The sequence below is a fragment of the Homo sapiens genome, chromosome Y (genome assembly GCF_000001405.40).
Source record: "Homo sapiens chromosome Y, GRCh38.p14 Primary Assembly".
Classification (NCBI taxonomy): Eukaryota; Metazoa; Chordata; class Mammalia; order Primates; family Hominidae; genus Homo; species Homo sapiens.
In genome coordinates, this window is record NC_000024.10 from 56,939,348 (window position 1) to 56,959,503 (window position 20,156).

General features: G+C 38.0%; 1 protein-coding gene across 4 annotated transcripts in view, besides 5 other annotated features; it reads left to right on the forward strand.

The window, feature by feature from the left end:
• Positions 1-20,156, forward strand: part of SPRY3 (sprouty RTK signaling antagonist 3) — a gene marked incomplete at its 5' end in the record, with an annotated part of 45,557 nt that overhangs the window by 15,925 nt on the left and 9,476 nt on the right. The window contains 2 exon segments of one of the 4 annotated variants that reach the window (NM_001394353.1): positions 13,784-13,810; positions 15,133-15,309. 4 annotated transcript variants of the gene reach the window in all.
• Positions 12,031-16,833: a meiotic recombination region, noted in NCBI's record as "meiotic double-strand break mapped by DNA meiotic recombinase 1 chromatin immunoprecipitation followed by single-stranded DNA enrichment and sequencing in the germ cells of some male individuals with the PRDM9 A/A, PRDM9 A/B and PRDM9 A/C genotypes". NCBI's record gives the evidence for it as "EXISTENCE:chromatin immunoprecipitation-seq evidence [ECO:0000229][PMID:25395542]".
• Positions 13,681-15,480: a meiotic recombination region, noted in NCBI's record as "crossovers mapped in sperm cells of males of European and African ancestries; recombination frequencies vary with PRDM9 genotypes, with higher recombination frequencies in individuals with the PRDM9 A allele, and little recombination in some individuals with other PRDM9 alleles". NCBI's record gives the evidence for it as "EXISTENCE:DNA detection assay evidence [ECO:0005519][PMID:20818382]".
• Positions 14,397-14,409: a nucleotide motif, noted in NCBI's record as "nucleotide motif; similarity to the predicted 13-mer PRDM9 A binding motif (LD hotspot motif), CCNCCNTNNCCNC, found near the center of the hotspot". NCBI's record gives the evidence for it as "COORDINATES:motif similarity evidence [ECO:0000028][PMID:20818382, PMID:19165926]".
• Positions 14,740-14,752: a nucleotide motif, noted in NCBI's record as "nucleotide motif; similarity to the predicted 13-mer PRDM9 A binding motif (LD hotspot motif), CCNCCNTNNCCNC, found near the center of the hotspot". NCBI's record gives the evidence for it as "COORDINATES:motif similarity evidence [ECO:0000028][PMID:20818382, PMID:19165926]".
• Positions 14,835-14,847: a nucleotide motif, noted in NCBI's record as "nucleotide motif; similarity to the predicted 13-mer PRDM9 A binding motif (LD hotspot motif), CCNCCNTNNCCNC, found near the center of the hotspot". NCBI's record gives the evidence for it as "COORDINATES:motif similarity evidence [ECO:0000028][PMID:20818382, PMID:19165926]".

Sequence of the window (20,156 nt, forward strand, 5' to 3'; positions counted from 1 at the left end):
ATATTAATCAACATTTCAAAACATGTATTTGTCCCAGCATTTTCTCTTTAGAAATTTGTGCTATAGATATATTAGCACAAATATCCAAAATACATGTAAAAGATATTTATTGCAGCATTTTTGTAATACCAAAAGTCTGAAAACAATCTAAATATTTATTAGTTAGAGACAGGTACTTCTGGCAAAGAGAAGAGTCAAATATAACAGGAGTCTGTTTGCATGAGGACTAAACAGTCTCCCAAATGTATTCTTTAAAAAACAGCTTTATTGAAACATAATTCACATGCAATAAGTCACCCATGTAATGTGCACAATTTAATAGTTTTTAGTATATTCTCAACGTTGTACAACTATCACCACTATCTTATACCATAATGTTTTCATCAACCCAAAAAGAAACCCTGTACCCATTAGAAGTCACTCACAATTTCTCCTTTCCCTCAGTCCCTGAAACCACAAATTGACTTTTCTTTGTGGATTTGCATTTTCTGGACATTCACATAAATGAATATTATAATATATGACCTTTTGTGTCTGGCTTCTTTCATTTATTGTGATGTTTTCAAGGTTCATTCATATTGTAGGATGTATCAGTGCTTCGTCCTTTTGTGTCTAGAAAATATTCCATTGTATGGATAGGTCACGTTTTGTTTAGCCTGTCCTACTGAACAATCTTTCAACAATTATTCTGAATAATCCTATTGAACATTCATGTACATGTTTTTGTATAGACACATGTTTTCAACTTTTTTGGTTATATATCTAGGAATGGAATTACTAGATCATATGATAACTTCATGTTTAACATTTCAAGAAAATTCCAAACTGTCTTCCAAAGTGGCTGCACCACTCACAAAGTGCTGTGAGATTTACAATCTCACCAGCAGTGTATGAGGCTTCCAATTTCTTCACATCCTCACTACCACGTGTGATTGTCTGTTGTTTTGATTTTGGCCATTCTAGTGGGTATTAAGTTGTATCTAATTTTGTTTCTGCTTTGCATTCCCCTAATGACTGATGTTATTGAGCATGTTTTCATGCACATATTGGCCATTTGTGTGTCTTTGAAGAGATGTCTATTCAAATCCTTTGCGCATTTTTCCATTTGTTTCTTTGTTTTAGTTGTTGAGTTGAAGATCTTTATCTATTGTGGATACAAGTTCCTTATCAGATATATGACTGGTAAACATTTTCTCCTATTCTGTGGGTTGCATTTTCACATTATTGATTATATTTTTGGCAGGAAAAAAAGGTTTTGATTTTGAAGAAACGTAATTTATCTATTTCTTCTTTTGTCACTTGTGCTTTTCTTGTTGCGTCTAGGAATACTATGCCTAATCCAAGGTCACAAATATTTACTCCTATGTTTTATTCTAAGAGTTTTGTAGTTTTGGCTCATACATTTATGTCTATGATTTTGAGTTAATTTTTTGTACAGCATATGATTTGAAGTAGGAGTCCAACTTCATTCTTTTGCATGTGGCTATTCAGTTGTTGCAGCACCATTTGTTGAAGAGATTATTCTTTCTCCATTAAATTGTGCTGACTCCCTTGTAGAAAATCAATGGATCATAAACGTAAGGTTTTATTTCTGGACTCTCAATTATATTACATTTGACTATATGTATATCCTTATTCCAGTACTATACCATCTTGATTACTGTAGTATTGTAGTAAGCTTTGAAGTCAGAAAGATTTAATACTTTTATTTTGTTCTTCCTTTTCAAGATTGTTTTGACTATTCTGTACCCCTTGCATTTCCATATGAATTTTAGGGTTCATTCATGAATTTTTGCAAAAAAATCTGGCTGGGACTTTGATAGGGATTATGTTTTCTGTAGATCACTTTGGAGAGTATTTCTATCTTAACAATATTAAATCTTTCAATCTACGAATATGGAGTGTCTTTCCATTTATATAGGTCTGCTTTAACTTCTTTCAACAATGTTCTGTGGTTTTCAGTGTATGTCTTGTATTTTTTTGTTAAATGTATTCTTATTTTATTCTTTTAGATGCTATTGTAAATGGAGTTGTTTTCTTAATTGCATTTTCAGGTTGTTCATTGCTAGTGTATAGATATACAACTTACTTTTGTATATTGATTAATCTTGTATATTGCCATGTAGCTGAACTTGTGTGTGTGTGTGTGTATTTTAAATAGGGAATTTGCTATGGAAGTTTGTTACAAATAGATATATATAATTGCAAAAATAATTTTGTGTGCATACTCACACGTGCGTGCACACACACACACACACCCTGTAGGCTGTTGGGTAACAGCAGTGGAAAAAATAAGTAAAAAGTCTAACTGGAGAGTAATGAGATTACTAGTGCCTAAATCTCAGAATTCTTAGTCAAAACTTGCAGTAAAAAGTGAAAGTGAACACATCCCAGTTTAATCTTTTACCCCAATGTCTTTAAATTGCTTCGCATTTTACTTTATTAAAAGCAAAAGTTAATCTTCTTTATCAGCTCAGAGCTATTTTAGATGCTTCCCAATCTTCAGTCTTCCTTCCCCTGTAACTACTCCCTCTTTATTTAGAAGGCATACAATAGACATTAACCCTAATGTAGAGAAGTAGTGTGGCATGGGAGTTGAGGGTATGGGCTCTGGAGTTAAACTGCTTGGGTTCAAATCTCATTTATGCTATATATTTGCTGTTTTGCCTAAAACATACCTTTACCTCTCTTGGCCTCAGTTGCCCTATTCTAAAATGTGGGTTATTTTGGCACCTTCCTTAGAGGATTTTTGTGAGATTATGTATATAAAATACCTGAAACAATACACTGTAAATGCTCAATAAATGCAAGGATGTCATTAATATTACATGTCAACCAGTTGGCATATAAGGAGATCTGTCTCCAGCCTGGGAAGATTTTAAAATAAGCAAACAAAGCATCTTATTTTTAGCCTTTGGGCATCTGCTTTTCCTTGGCTTGTTGGAGAGAGTGTTCCTAAGGGATTCCCTTTTTAAAAGTTGGGGGCATGAAGAAGAAAGTGCCAGAGGGAGACAGTGAAAGACTCCAAGAAAGCAGAGAAGACAAATAGAAAGGAGAAGAAAGTTAGAAGGAGGAGAAACCAAAGAGGCCAGGGAGAGGAAAGTAGGTGGCTGGGGAGAGAAAGTATAACAAGAATAAAGTTCATGAAGGTAGGATGGTTGGGGGAGACCTTGTAATACAGAGCTAAGAACTTTATTGAAGTTTAACAGAAAAGAAACCCTTGTTTGAAAGGAAGAGATTGGCTATATTTAGTACTGGGTAGGATGTCAGTTCTGAAAATAAACTGCTCCCAGAACTGAAAGCAATCCTCTGCACTGTTGTCACCTGCAGCATGCTGGCCTCCCTTATAGAGGAGAGTGGAAAATGGTCATATCAGCTACCTCAGAGTTTCTGACATTCACAAGGACTTGCCCCACTTTGTCTCCTTGTCCCATTCCTAAGTTTTAAAACTTCTGATTAATGAGAAAATAATTTATACAGCTGAGAAAAGTGAAGTATATGTTGGTGTGTATGTGGAGCAGGGAAGTATCCTGCTAAGTTAATACAGGAATCTAAACACCATGTGGCCAGGTGCTTAATGCAATATTCACCACATCCATGGTACACATCTGGCATACCACTGTAGACACAGGGACCTAGTCAGAAGTATGACAGGCCATATATAAAGATATATTTGAAGCATCCGATAGGTGTCATAGAGGTAAGTTCTCTATGCAGATGTCATGCTTGTGTGACTTAGGGAACTCACATAGGGCATGCAGATAGGCTCAGGTTAGGATACATTAGGAAAAGACAGAGAATTCATGATTTGAGCCATCAAAAACAGAATGCATGTGGAGGAGGATGGAAATGAGGAGAAAGTTTTCCTTTTCCAACAGGAATAAATATAATTGTGTTCATAGGTACAATGCCATCTACTGCTCCTTTACAAGACACAGAGACTTACAGGTACATTTAGATACATACACACACAAATACAAACAACATATGTTGTGTTGGGAAAATATAGGTGATGCCTTTCACTGAATGAGAAAAAAAAACTAGAAAATGGGTATTTTGATGGAACAAAATATAACTAGAATTCTAACTTCTAACTTTAATTCATCACTTCCACTATTACCACTCTCTCATCTAGACAGTTGCGATAGCTCCCTAATTGTTTTCCTGCTTCCAACATAAACCCCTCTTCTGAATATATACTCTACAGGGCAGCCAGAGAGATCTTTTTAAAATCACAAGTCATATTCTGTCATTCCTCTGCACAAAACCCTACAATATCTTCTCAGCTCACCCTGAGTAAAATGCAAAATATTTAACATGGTCTGCAAGACTCCACGTGATGTAACCCTCTGATACCTCTCTGGTTTCATTTACTACTAATCTTCCCTCACCCTTCCCACTCTAGGCATAGGCGTGCTGATCTCTTTGCTCCTCCTAGAACACATCAAGTACATTCTGGCCTCAGGGATTTGCATTTACTGTTTCCTCTCTGTGGGAGAAGCCTTCCCCATATAGCTGGATGGCTTGCTCCCTCACTTTGAGACTCACCTCAAATGTCACTTAGTGAGGGAGACTTTCCATAACCATCATATATAAAATAGCAATTCTCCTCACCCTTTGTCATGTTTGATGGAGAAAGGAAGATAACGAGTACAGCTGTCTGATAGGTAGTTGGATATGTGGGTCTAGAGTTCAGCTAGAGGTCTGAGCCAGAGATGTAGATTTGGTATTTTCCATCACCCCAGGCAAGGAGAATAATGCTTGTAATGGTCTGGAGGTGATGGATGTATCATGCTTTCTGCATGATACATCCAAGGATCATTTGGGACTTTTTGAAAATGCAGCTTCTCTGGGTCTCACTCAAGATCTCTGAACAAAAAATCTCTGGAGGCAAGGTTTAGGAGTATGTAGCTTGATAAAGTTCCATATATAATTCTGATGTGCAGCCCTGCCTGAGAATCACACTCTAAAAAGAAACACGCACCTCCACCAAATTTACTAGTAATTCCAACAGAGTGGTCACATGAGATGGGTGCCCATCAGCAGTGGATTGGATAAACAAGTATATATTTCCTCCACATCTCAGTAAATGGAACAACTTTTCTTCATCCACACAGTCCCTACAATGATTCAGGCCACAGTCATCTCTGACTTGACTTATTGACAGATTCTATTGCAGTTTATGTGTTTATATAACTGTATTTCTCTTCAGTATTAGGCCATTTTGGCTAGCCCATCATTATTTAACCCCTCTGTTCTTCTATCCATTTGTTTTAGCAGACTGTGAGTAATGAGAGGATGAAACGATTCATTTATTCGTTCAACCAATATGTATTGATAACCTACTACATGGCATACCATGTCACATTCATTTCCGTATCTCACATATCAAGTATATTGCCTTACCTTAAGTATGTACTCCATATATGTTTGTTTTATATTCAAACTTACTGTGTCACAGATAAGGAAAATAGGGCCTAGAGATGAAGAATGACTTGCTAAAGCCACACAGCAGGTAAGTCCAGTTTTCTCTACATAGAACCACTTTGTCCCTCCCTCACACACTTCCATTATTGGTAACATTGCTCCTAAACTATTTGTCAGCTTCTGTGGCAAAGAAATAATTATCTCCATCCCCATAGGCTTTTCAGTTAAGAATCTATGTTCCCTTGGCATTGCTTACAATGCTGGTGTCACCACTGCTGAATCAGGATGTCCACAGATCAGCTTTTTATCTGGCACTTCTAAAGAGCTCCTGCTGACTTCAATAGAATATGGATAGAGCTGGCCTCCTATAGGAACTTTCAGGCTCTCAAATGGATTTGGGATGTGTCCTGGGAGAAAGAGAATGAGGAAAGACTTTCAGAATTTGTGTGGAAGCATGTGTTTTATAAAAACAAAACATGACAAAATGAGTTATAAGAGAGAATTGATTGGGTTTATGGATGAAGTTCCTGATAATGATTACTTTTGACACTATATTGGACTATCACATAAAGTTGGTTCTTTATGTCTAATCTATTTCCACTTGCTACAATTTAGTAAAAACCTAAATAAGTTTAGTACATTCTAGGAATATAAATAAGTCATGCAATGTGTAGCCTTCTAGAGAAAATTTCTGCTTCTAATTTGCTCAAGCTGAGTGTAAGGGACCCTCTTAGAATGGTTTAGAAACATGTTGTTTTGACATCTTTATATCTTTGTGCATGCCGTTTCTCTGCTCTCAATGGATCTTATTAATTCTTTTTTTTTTTTTTGACTCTTACACTGTTGCCCAGGCTGGAGTGCAGTGGCACAATCTCACTGCAACCTCTGCCTCCCGAGTAGCTGGGATTACAAGCGCCCACCATCACGCCCGGCTAATTTTTGTATTTTTAGTAGAGACTGGGTTTTGCCATGTTGGCCAGGCTGGTCTCAAACTCCTGACCTCAAGTGATCCACCCACCTCGACCTCCCAAAATGCTGGGATTACAGGCATAAACCATCACACCTGGCCAAATTTATATTTAAATATCACTTTTTCTTGTAAGCATTTTATAATCTCCTCAATTACTGCATTAGGTATATTTCCTCTCTGCTCCTTTCCAAAACACATGTCACCCTTTGTTACATTTGTCTATTGGCTAGCTTTCCTACTAAATTATGAGCCCCTTGAAAACAGGGATTCATTTATTAATTATATATTAACTAATAACATATCGCTATATATATATCTATATTAATAACATGTAACAAATTCATTTATTATTGTATCTTAATTTATTACTGTATCACCAGAGCCTGGTACAAAGCTGTCCCTCAATATATGTTTGCTGATTGTTGAATGAATCAAGGAGCTCCTAATTTAGTAAAGGAAATAGGCATGGAATCATGTAAATTATATTACCATATGATGACGGCAAAAATAGAAGTATGTTTACCAGGTGAATTTATTTACTAATTCCTTTATTCCTCCATTCAACACACACAGAGGACTTCTGTCCCAAGTCTATTGGGAAACACAGAGAAGTAAGTAAGCCATTTAAATATAGTGCAGTACATGCTCTGACAACAGTTAAGTACATCCTCTATGACTCAATTGAAAAAAATACTTCCTCCAGGAAGCCTTCCTTGACTTCTTCAGATAGAGTTTGATTTCTCTTGTCTTTATCTCTCATCTGTATCCCTAAACTTTATGTGCTTTCTTCAAATATAATGAATATTATGTTCTACATCTATTGTAATCACTGGTTTTAATGTGTTTGACTTTTCCACAAGCCAATGAGCCCCTTGAGGGCAGAGCCATTTTGATGCACACTGGAATAGAGTAGTAATCTCTCAGAAAATAATAGTAATGCCTACCATTTGTTGAGTGCCTATATTACTTATTACTTACATTATCTCAAGTCATTCTGTTTTCAACAAAGACTTTATTGTCCCTATTTTACAAATGAAGAAACTGAGGCTCAGAGGCTTAAGTAAGTTAACCAAGTATCACAAAACTAATTTATGGAACTGGTTGTAAGCCCAGGTCTGACTTCCAAGGCCTTAGCATAAGGATTGGCTTAGCTTTGGAATTGTTTTCTATAGTTACTATTTATTTGAACCTTGAAGTACATTAAACTTAGGGGGACTCAGTTGGCAGATTCTTAACCAGGTTTCAGGTGCTTAGATCCTTTTTCAGCAGAGATAATTCCAGGTAAAACTGTAACAGCGACAAAGTTTGTGTCTTTCTTTGACTCTAAAGCAGAGATCCCTAAACTTTTTGGCACCAGGGACCGGTTTTGTGGAAGACAATTTTTCCACCACGGTGGTGGTAGGAGGGGATGGTTTGGAGATGAAACTTTTCCGCCTCAGATTGTCAGGCATTAGTTAGATTCTCATAAGGAGCATGCAGCTTAGACCCCTCTCCTGTGCAGCTCACAATAGGGTTCACGCTCCTATGAAAATCTAATGCCACTGCTGATTTGACAGGAGGTGGAGCTCAGGTAGTCATGCTCCCTCAGGGGCCACTCACCTCTTGCTGTGTGGCCTGGTTCCTAACAGGCCGCCGACCCCTACCGGTCCATGGTCTGCGGGCTGGGGACCCATGCTTTAAAGTACATGCCATGATTTGGTCCAAAATGTCAATCCTTATACATTTTCCTGGAATTTGTCTCTAATATTGAATGCTTTTAAACTTCCTTCTTCATTTATTTTTTCCCATTGACTCCTTCCTTTCACTTGAAAATCCACTGGGTTATCCTGTGTTGAAATCTTATAACTCTGCCATGATTTTTTAGTTTCCTCTCAACATACTGAGATTTGACATTTTACCCCACCACCAAAACCATTTTCAATAAGTCACCAATACCCTATGGGGCTAAATTCATTGAATACTTTAAATTACCTATCCTAATTTCTCTTCACTATTAGCCCATTTTGACTACCCCATCTTTATTGAAACTCTCTCTGCTCTTCTGTGACAATGTGTATCCTGATTCCTTTCTAACATCTGCTTACTCCTTCTCTTGTTTCTTCACTGATTCTTCTTATTTTAATTTCAATTTCATTTTAGATTCAAAAAAAACAGAATTTGTTCTTTTTCATGGCTGCATAGTATTCCATGGTGTATATGTGCCTTATTTTCTTTATCCAGTCTACCACTGATGGGCACCTAGGTTGATTCCATGTCTTTGCTATTGTGAATAGTACTGTGATGAACAGGCACATGCATGTGTCTTTTTGGTAGAACTATTTATTTTCCTTTGGTTATATACCCAATAGTGGGATTGCTGGGTCGAATGGTAGTTCTATTTTAAGCTTTTTGAGAAATCTCCAAACTGCTTTCCAAAGTAGTTGAACTAATTTACATTCTCAACAACAGTGCATAAGTGTTCCCTTTTCTCTGCAGCCTTGCCAGCACCTATTTTTTTTTTTTTTTTACTTTTTAATAGTAGCCATTCTGACTGGTGTGAGATGGTATCTCATTGTGGTTTTGATTTGCATTTTTCTGATTAGTGATATGGAGCATTTTTTCATATGTTTGTTGGCTATATGATTCTTCTTTATCCTTTTGCTCTCTAACTGTTCCACATGGTAACACAGTCCTTTTCACTCTCCCTTTCCTCTACCTCAGCAATTTCATCCATTTTCAAAACTCCAATGATCTCTTTCGTGTTAACAAGCCTTAAAATTCCTCAAGTTCCTCTCCTGTCTTGTCACTTAAATTCTAGTACCATATCTCTAACTTTGTACCAAATATTCCTACTTGAAAATGTCTCATCTTTACCTCAAATTCAACACTTCTAAAGAATAACTCAAAGATCTCATTATCTTCCCTATTTATGGTATAGTGAAAGGAATACTAGACCAAGTGTCAGGAGACTTGGATTCTACTCCTGGCTCTGCCACTAACTTGGTATTTCCTGGTTTTTCTCAACAAGAGTTTATCTTATGAAAATCACAGTAAACAGTACTTTGAAGGGGTCATATATGAATCTTCAAGGAGCTAATTCTAGTTGGAAAGATAAGACATATACATAAGTTACTACAGTACAAATTAAAAAGTGATAAATACCGTAAGAGAAGTATAACTACATTGTCATGAGAGTTCAGAGGTATTTCTGGATGATGAGACAATGAATTATATTGTAGAGAAAATAATATTTGATGTAGTCTTTGGACTATTTGGAGGCAGAAACAATAATACCTGATTCATTTATGAGTGGAGGCTAACAGAGAGAAAGGTTAAATAGATGCTAAAGCTTCAAACTTGTGTAACTAAAGCATTTGTGATGTCATCTCAAATAAAAGAGAAATCAGGATGAGCAGGTAGCTTGTGGTTTTGAATACAATTTTATAATTGAGGTTGGTCTCACACCAGTCCGAATGGCTATTATTAAGAAGTCAAAAATCAACAGATGTTGGCAAGGCTGCAGATAAAAGAGTATGCTTATACACTGTTGGTGGGAATATAAATATAAATTAGTTCAACCACTGTAGAAAGCAGTTTGGAGGTTTCTCAAAAAAAACTTAAAACAGAACCACCATTCAACCCAGCAATCCTAATATTGGGTATATATCCAAAGGAAAATAAATCATTCTACCAGAAAGACACATGCACTCATATGTTCTTTGCAGCACTATTCACAATGGCAAAGACATGGAATCAATCAACCTGGGTGCCCATCAGCAGTGGATTGGATAAAGAAAATATGGTACACCATGGAATACTATGCAGCCACAAAAAAGAACAAAATCATGTTCTTCGCTGCAACATGGATGCAGCTGGAGGCCATTTTCCTAAGTGAAATAATACAGGAACAACAAAAAAAAACCCCTCATGTTCTCACTTATAAGTGGGAGCTTAACATTGGGTACTCAGGGACATAAAGATGGCAATTGGGTAGCCTGCTTACTACCTGGGTGACAGGATTAATCATACCCCAGCCAAAGTTCTTTACAACTCTAATATCATATATTTATTCCTTTAAACTGACCTCCCCCTTCCAACTTCTCAGTATGCAATGGTATCATATTCAACTGAAAACATCTCATCCTTACTTCCCATTCTCACTGTCAATTCCCTAACCAGGCCCTTATCATCTTCTGTTTAGATTACTCCAAAATACCCCAATTTGGCTGACCTGACTCTAGTATCTCCCCACTCCTATATATCATGCCCAGTGTATCTTTCTTAAATGTGGCTTATTTTCATATTTTATTCCTTTGTTCTAAAATTTATTTCTAATTCCCAGAGCATTAAGTCTAAATTGCCTGTCATTCGAGTTATTCTCCAGCACTATATATTCCAATCCTCTCTTCAATATACCTCTTACATAAGACAGTTTGAATGTTTCACTCTTTGCAGACTCCATGCACATTGCTACCAATCCAGATTTCCATGTGAATTCCTTCATGTGAATTATATATGGTTATTCATTTTCTGCCCAGATCTCAATTCCTCTTTGAATCCTTACCTATCTAATTTATTTCAACATTTGTAACTCCTTCATCACTTTCACCCATGCCCTAGTCTCTTTTTCAGTATGCTCTGTTAGATATACTCTCCCTTCTTTCAATATGTTTTTGAGTTAACTGTCATATCAGAAATGATCTGAACAACCGGTTACTACAAAGCATGGAAAGGTGTATTTTATTCATTACAAAATCATAACTCAGAGGTTTCTAAAACAGACTTAGTAAAGAAGATATTTCCAAGGCAGGGTGACTTTTCTGGTGTCCTTCAAGGTTACTTATTTATTTATTGAAAATCAATGGCTTTCAGAAATAGATGTGTTGATCTGTGCTGAGACAATATATCCAAATTCAACTGGAATTGAATTAATGTCAGCAAGGTGCCTTAAAAAGAGAAAGAAGGCATTGGATTGGGAAACAGGAGACCTGTGTTCACTACTAGGCCCAATGCTGCCACTTACTAGCTGTATGATCTTGGACAACTCAATGAATCTGTCAAAATATGTTTTCTGAAGAGTACACCATTAACTAAGGAGCTAAGAAAACAAATTTTCTGAAGTGCACTGCTACAACAATCTAACAAGTTTGTAAAAGAAGTTGTCTGGCAATACATAGTGAGTTTTGTAATGTCTCAACATCAAATTTCTGTATATAATTGTACTATAGTGATAGCCTATCAAAAATCACGGAACTTCGAGTTGTCTTTTAGAAACAAAACAGCTTAAAGAACAAATAAAGATATTCATGTAGATTTCCAAAAATTGGTTATCCATTCATTCAATAAGTATTAATTTAGTGATCAGTATGCTAGGCCTTGGGGATGTGGCAGTGAAGACAAATATAATAAATATTATATCTGCCCTCAAAGAGATCACTGTCTAAATTGGGAGACAGACAATTATAATAAAGTGTGATAAGTTCTGCAATGATGGTAAGCACAAAGGGGGCCTCTGGAGCACAAAGAAGAGGACAAATCTGTTCTAAACTGGTCTTTTGAAGAGAGAGGTGATTAGGCAAGGCTTTTCCTGCAATAAGTGACTGCTAGGCCTATAGGATATTCAGGAATATTATCTTAGTCTTATTGGGCTACTGTAACAAAATACCTTTGACTAGATAACTTATAAACAACAGAAATGTATTTCTTACAGTTGTAAAGGCTGGGAAGTCCAAGATTAAGGTGTTACCAGTGTCTGGGGGAGTCCGACTTCCTCATAGACAGCACCTTCTCACTGTGTCCTCACATGATGGAAGTGCCAAGGCAGGTCTTCGGGGCCTCTTTTATAAGAGAACTAATCCCATTCATGAGGGCTCCACATACATTATTTAGTCACCTCCCAAAGGCCCCACCTCCTAATATTATCATATTGGTAGATAGGTTTCAACACAGGAATTTTGGAGAGACACAAATATTCAGACCATAGCATTTACCAAATAATTTTTAAAAGTTAGAACAAAAATCCCTGAAGGGATTTGCAGATGGTTGGATACTGTGGTATAGTGGTTAAAAGTACAAGCTCTGGAGTGAGACAGCCTGAGTCAGCCTGAGTTAAAATCCTAGATCTGCAAACTGCCAACTGTGTAACCTTGGACAAGTTACTTAAGGTCTTTGGACCTTGGTTTCTCATTTTAAAAATCAGTATAATTCATTAATATGCCTCATAGGTTTGTTGTGAGAATTAAATAGGTTAAAACATGTAAAATTCATAGAACAGCACCTGGCAAAGAGTAAACATGTCACCCTGCCCACTTGAATGTCAATTCCAGGAGCGCAGGAAATCTAGCTGTTGAATTACTAGCCTTTAGTGAGTGGCCCATAGCAGGCATGGTTGAATGAATGAATGATCATCAATTTAACTTTTTTTGTCATGGGTATCATCCTAAGAGGTAAGAAGGCTGAATAATCCCAATTGTTTTCATTGTTGCCTTAATATAGGCCCACAGAGTAAAGGAGGGAAAGGAATTAGGCAACCCAGCTATTCAACTTTAAAGCTAGACTTTAAAACATAAAAGGGCTTCAAATTGAAATCATCTCTTGCCTCTCCTATGGGTTACATTAGAGCAAGAACAATTTCTTAACATTCATAGCTACTATTCATGGGGTGCTTGCTATATGCCAGAGAGGTTAATTGAATTGCCTCAAGGGAGGTAGCTCCCAGGTTGAGGAGCAAAAATTTGAACCCTGATCTATTTGACCTGAATCTAGTTAGTACAGTGCTTGACACATAGTTAATGTGCAATAAATATTTGTTGAATAAGTGTAGATGAACCTACAGTGAATCACAAAAGAGAATTTACAGGAGATTTCCTGACTAGAAATTCCAAATGGGAAAAGAGAGCTGGATTTGTTTAGAAATTACACACACGCACATACACAGGCATGCACGCATGCACACACACATATACCTACATACATGTCATCACAACTGTTTGGAGCACCTTAAACACATACATACACACAGGAGCATGCAGACCCACACAGCCGTACTTTTTTAAATCTCATTATTTCTTTTGTCTTCTTAACACATCTGAGAGAGGGTAAATGACAGAGTGTCAGAGGTAGAAAGGACGTTAGCAATTACCTAATCAGATCCCCTCATGTTAATGTAAAAATTGACACTCTAGAGGGGAAGAAAATTGCTAAGGTCACACAAGGAGTCAGAATAAGATTAAGAGTCTCAGTTTCCTGACTCACACAGTTTGTTTTACTCTGAACTGTCACCATTTACCATCTCAATTTTATAGATGAGGTAACCAAAGCATCCTAAGAATGCTGATGGCCAAGCTCCTGCCACTTGTCCATTGAAATAGGACTTGAAATCAGATCTCCTTTATTTTAAATATAAAGCTGCTGTCATCCAAGTTCTTCTGTCTGGATGCCCAGAAGAAAGATCCTTTCCTATTGAATTAAATAGTGGACTGAGGGTAATTTACAGAAAGCTTTGTCCTTGGCTTTAAGAGAAAATGTCCAAGGCTGCTTTATTTTCAGTCCCAGGGAGGCTGCATGAAGGCAGGAATCCACAACACCTAGCACAAAGGAAGGTACTCAATAAATATTTGTTGTTGAATGCATGCCATGCTAAAGGGAAAGTAGGTTGGGTAATGGTTTCCCAGTGGCAATGGATGGGCTGAAAAAGTGGGAACACATGAGGAAGAGGTGGGAGGAACCCTTAAACAAAGGAGAAGCTCTTTCTCTTCATCTTATTGAAGCTGCAATCACTCGGCACAGGCTGAGTAGATTGGTAGAAATGTGATTGGCAAAGATATTTAAATGAGACCTCCTTAAAATTGTTACTCTCCACCCCACCCCCACGTTCCTTTAAATTTTGTTTCAGTCATTACCCAGGGACCGGATACAGAGATTCCTATGGGGAGTTTTAATGGGTCGATTCAATTTCATCTGGATGACGCCACTTCGCCAAGCATTAAGAGCTACAGCTCCGGGAAAGCCAACGACACGCGGGGGGAGGGGGGAGAGAAAGAAATTATAACGAGGAGCAATAAATCCCTTCTTTCCCATCCTCCCCTATAACCCATTCACAAGACCTCCAGAAATCATCTACATTCACAAAACGGCCAGCTAGCTAAGCTGAACACACTGCCAACTCACTCCCTGCCCCCACTGCAGATTATATACCAACACACCCTGAGCCATATAAATAATCACACACTGGCGGTATCTATTGCTCCGTTGAGATACCCTGTGTCTACAACTGCAGTTTCTGCTGCTTCGGTTCATCTGTCAGATTGGAGGAGAGGGAGACCAAGGTGGAGGCGGAGGCGGAGGCGAAAGAGGAGGGGGAGGAGGTAAAGGAGGAAGAAGGGGAGGAGGGAAAGGGGAGGGCAAGAGGAGGGGAAGGAAAATACTGGAGGGGGAGGGGGAAGAGAAACAGGAGGAGGAGGAGAAGGGGGAGGAGAAAGAGGCGGAGGAGGAGGAGAAAGAAGAGGAGGAGGAGAAAGAGGAGGAGGAGGAGAGAGAGGAGGAGGAGGAGAGAGAGGAGGAGGAGGAGAAAGAGGAGGAGGTGAACAACTTACCCTGCTGAGCTTTCTTTGGGAAATACGTCCATCAAGATTTAGATCTGCCTGTAAAATCTATACAAAGTATATGCCACTACAGGTTTGACTCGCCCCCTCCCCCGTTTTTTTGTTTTGTTTTGTTTTGTTTTGTTTTGTTTTGTGTTTTCTCTGCTGTGTCAAAGAACAAGACAGAACTATCTCTGTTTCTGGCTCCACTGCCTGCCAGTGAAGGAGTTTTCATTCAGACTTTCCGAAGAGAGGTGGAGAAACCTAAAGACTGAGGAGAAGAGATCCTTTGAGCCAGATGGGGCATTAGTTCTTCTGCTTTTCTCAGCATGGATAAACCATTTCCTCAAGGTAAGCCATAGAAATTAGCTCTTTAAAAACCCAGAATTCTTTCTATGCAATGCACAGATTGCCATTCATTCCAGCCATCCTGTGCTGTCTCTGTGTGCGTGTGTGTGCCGCGCGCTTGGGCGCGCGCGCGCAAGCGCATGGATAAAATAAAATGAAAACCCTTTAAATTATATTTAAATAAATCGGCTCTCGCAGAAAACTATCCACATTGGAAATGTGTAAATCCAAATAGGACTTCAAAATAATATTTTTCTAGGCGAATGTCAATTTAATTTCTAGCCTGTTAACCTTTAAATGCATTTTGGTACTTGCCTAAACCCCTCAAAACGCAGCCTAACCACCCAAGCTGAGGACAGAGAGAGAGCCCGTGCTAAGGCCAGTCTGGCTGCCCAGCGGGCATCCTGTCAGCATGGGGCTAGCCTCTGCTATTGGCTCACAAGTCTGGGCTGTGCATCGTTCAGATTTCATCACATCACCTTGCCCTGGGTAGACATGGCGCAAGCTGACACGGCAGAACCCCCCACTTACATTGAGTCAGAGCAGTGATTTAGAAATCTCTGTATCCGTGCCTGGGTACGTGTGCACATGTCTCTGTGTGGCATATGGAGATTCTGTCAAAAGTGAGAACCTGTGAGCACGTCTAGTTAGCCAATAGGCATTTGATAAGACCTAGGGCAATGGTTTACTGCACACTCACTTCCATGAAGCTAATTATAATTATCATTCTTCACCTCTGCATGCTGCAAACCAAGTTGGATGAACAGAAAACAGACCTTGAACTCTTAAGCAGAAAATCTATTTTGAAATGGAAACTATTGTTGCTTTTCTGGTAATATTAAAACCTCACTGTATCATGATGTGTTATCACATGAATTTGGATATACCAGGTGTTAAATCATGTTCCCAAAAAGTCGGCTGCATTCATAAATACAAATAAGGCACAGGCTAGCCGTTTATCCACAATGAAATATTGGTCTTGCTCTCCTTGCCTCTAAACAAACATATACAAAGACATTACTATAACATTCTATATATTTGTCTCTTTGTGTTCTGTTTTTAGGTCTCTCTAGCTGTGAAACAGTCTAGATAGTGATCTGAGTGACTTAGATTTGAAGATATTTATTAAGAGTTGAGGAGTTGAGTAGTGAGGAAGTAAAGAACCTAAAGGAAAGGACACTAATTCTTCCTTAAAGACTTTTGAAACAGAGAAATGCAACCAACAAACCCAACATAAAATTTAGAGCATCTGGACAAGAAAGGCCTTTAAAAACCCTCCTTTTATTTTGCAGATGAAGAAACTGAGGACCAGAACGGAGGTCATTTGCCTACAGCCACGCAGCAAAGTAGAGCTACCATTAGGACTAGACCTTAAATTTCTTGTGTCATATAAAAGGATTTGAGTTTTTAAAAAAAAAATCCTACTTCTTAGATGAACAACCAGCTTCTTCTTACAATTTTCCTCAGGATTAGATGTGAATTCATTTGGTATTACAAATTTTCCCTGTATCATTCATCACTAAAAGACCTATATCTTTTAACATTCAAGGTCTTAAAACTGCAAGACTCCCTGGTTTGAAATAAACTGCTATGAGTCTTAATGAAACCATTAAAGTAATGAATAGGACTAGGGTAGCAAAGTGACAAGTTAAGAGTTAAATGTGGTGAGAACCTGGCAGCTCCAACAAGATGTATGCGGTAGGAGGGAGGCCCAGTCAGTGGCAGAGAGGTTAGTAATGTAAACTATATACAACTTGGTATTTGTAAGGGGGGAGTGCTTTGATAGAGATGCAAATGCTTTTTGCACAGAGAGGGATTTTTAGAGAGCAGACTTTGGAACAGTAGAACTAAGAAAACATATAAAGCCAAAGCAGAAATTCCCCCTATGTTTGCTTTCAGTTATTCTGAGTAGGAGTGTATATAACAGCAGAGCATAGAAAAAAGCAACACACCTAAGAGCCGTTACACAGTAGGGTACAAAACAGCATTGAACCCGTGAGACTGGGAGAAAACAAGAGCCAGGATCTCCTCTTCCTCACTCCACTCTTCTTTGAAATCAACGTTGAGTCATACTGTATCGGAAAGGATTTACCATAGAAATCAGAACTGTCTTGCGGTGTTAGCATAGAAGGGCTTTAGATAGGAAAGTTTTCAACTTTATTCTCAACATGGCAGATTTTAGGTTCCAGGGAGAAAATACATTTTCTTTCATTAACAAACATTAGCATTTCTTGAATGGGCTTAGCTTTCTAGTCCCTAAATTGGCATAAGAAAAGAAATTTTTTTCAGGTTGAACATGGCAAATTCAGGGCTACAGAAAAACTGTTTAGAAAGCTATGAGCACCTGGCCAGAGAGACTGTGATGGGAGTGGGTTTACAATGCATCATTCATTACTGCAGAGGCACTACGTGACAAAAATCACTAGATCCCATCAATGTGCAGCCAAGACCTGTAATCACCTTTGCTCTTATTTAATAATATGTGATGTGTACATTCTCTCTCTCTCTCTCTCTCTCTCTCTCATTTGATAGACTATGGAATTGGCCAACTGCACAGTTTCTTAACTGTTGCTGCTCACAATGAATGGCTCTTTAGTGGGTGGATTTCTGAATCATAAACATTCACGTAGTGGTACTTTTTCATCTAGCCTATGTGCTACAGCAGTGTCTTGCCTGTTCCTTTCTCAACATATTTTTCCCTCTTACCTTCCTGTACAGTATCTATTTCAGTTCATCCTGTTAGCCAGATCAGATTCAGCATGTCCAGAATGGCAAACAATTTATTGTCATTCAATCCTTAAATCCTACTCAACACTCTGATTTTATTCAGGTCCTACTGTCCACTTACTGCAGGTCTCCCACATTAGATCCCAGAGTCCATTTGAATAAAAGATTCTACAGAGCAGGAAGAAACCTTCTAAGTTCATCCTGTCAGTTCCCTTACTTGTAGGCAAGACAGTGCATCATTATTTCAGACTGAAATAATGCCCACAGCTTCTTTTAATCATCCAACCAAGCATCTCAATTTATCAGTCTTGCAGAAATCGAATCAATATTGAAATACAGCTTTTCAACCTAAACACCATGTACCCTTCTGCTCCCCAGACAGGATCCCCTTTGAACATAATTCTCATTATTGTTTCTGAGTCATTTATATTATGACCTAGATTCCTCCCAGATTAGCTTTCAACCTTCTGGGCATGTCCCTGAGGTTCCTAGTGACATCCCTAGAATCCTGTCTTTGGAATCTCACCTGTTTATCTCCTGTAACTTTGAGACCTTGTATAACTTCCTTTAAATTATTGCTTCCTGGAATTTTCAATATGTTTTGAATCTAGTTTCCTTTGGGAAATCAATTAGTCTAAACTGCATTCAGCATGTATATTATTGTTCTTACAGTACAAAGGACTTGCAGGGCTCCACATATTCTTTAGCCGATCAATGGGACATAAATCTATTTCTCATAAATTTGTCAAAAGACTCCTCCCAGTCCCAAGTTCCTACATCTACATACCCTCCAAGCCAAATGAACAATGTGTCCTTTTTTATTTGGGTGTCTACATGAAAGCTGCCAGTTCCTTTCCAATGCTGAGACTATGAATCTATAAAGATACAGCAAAGGTAGAGGTGGCAGGTTGCATGAGCCTTTGAGTGCAAGTAAATAAAGGAAACATACATTTTGCTTTTGAATGCCCCAATAAGTAAGGGCACATTGCCCACCTTACCCTCAAGGACTTGAAGATGTAGAAGATACGGATGAAAAGAAATATTTTATAAAATTGTGTAGTTATAGAAAGAAATACAGACCATAATGGCTCAAGGTCCTTCAAGATCACCTTGTTCACATCACATATCCTTCAGTTTCACATAGATAGTGAAACTGAGGCCCAAAGAAAGCAAGTGATTTGACAAAAGTGACATAAATATTTGAGTCTGAGAGTTTCCATAATATTTATTTGCATTCTCTTATGCTGCATTTATTTAACACCAAAACAACTAGTTAAAAAGTGAAATTTTTGTCAGACTGGTTCTTTGATGTGATATGCCAAAAAGGTTATTTGTAACCAAATTAAATCTTTTCAAGTAATGAGCAGATGTAAATTCAGCTTATCAGGTTTGCATGAGGATATAGCCTCAAAAGTCAACTGAGTCTGGTCATATTATTAGCCACTGAGTCCTTTATGAACTGCATCCTTGTTTTTCCTGTTATTGAGCTTTGGGCCCATTTCAGTGTCATGTTTGCTTGCTTATGGAAACGTAATCAAGCACCATCCTCTCTCACTTGTTCATTTCTATTACTCATTCAAGCTATCCATCACATACAGTAGTGTGAGTAATTGATCTATTTTGAGAAGGCCTGAAATCTGATGGATCTCAAATATATACTTTATTCATGCTAGTGTTTTGCTACGTCCTAATGCCTCCAGGATGTTTCCTGGATTTGTGTTTAGGTTTCTTCATGTACACCTTTTTGACTCTTCAGTCTTCTAGGTGGTGCAATACAGCAGTCTGCTATTTGTACAGTATTTTCCCCATGGTCATCATTATCAGTTCTAGGCTTGGTAAAATCCTTCAGGGAATGACCAACCACCTCTTCCTGACTGTAGTACAATGGAAATGCAAGCATATGCTTTCTAGACATTCAACTTAGCTTAAATATGGTATAAGAATATCACTTTCCTTTAAGAAAGTCAGTTTATTGTGTAAGGTAGTGATAGAGAAAAGAAGTCCAAGCAGATTCTGCTTGGTAAGTCTCATCAATATGGAGGTGACTTAGGATAGTAATAGGTATAATTACAGATGATTTTTGAAATAATTCAGGACTTGTCTTCTATAGTTCCTTGATCCCC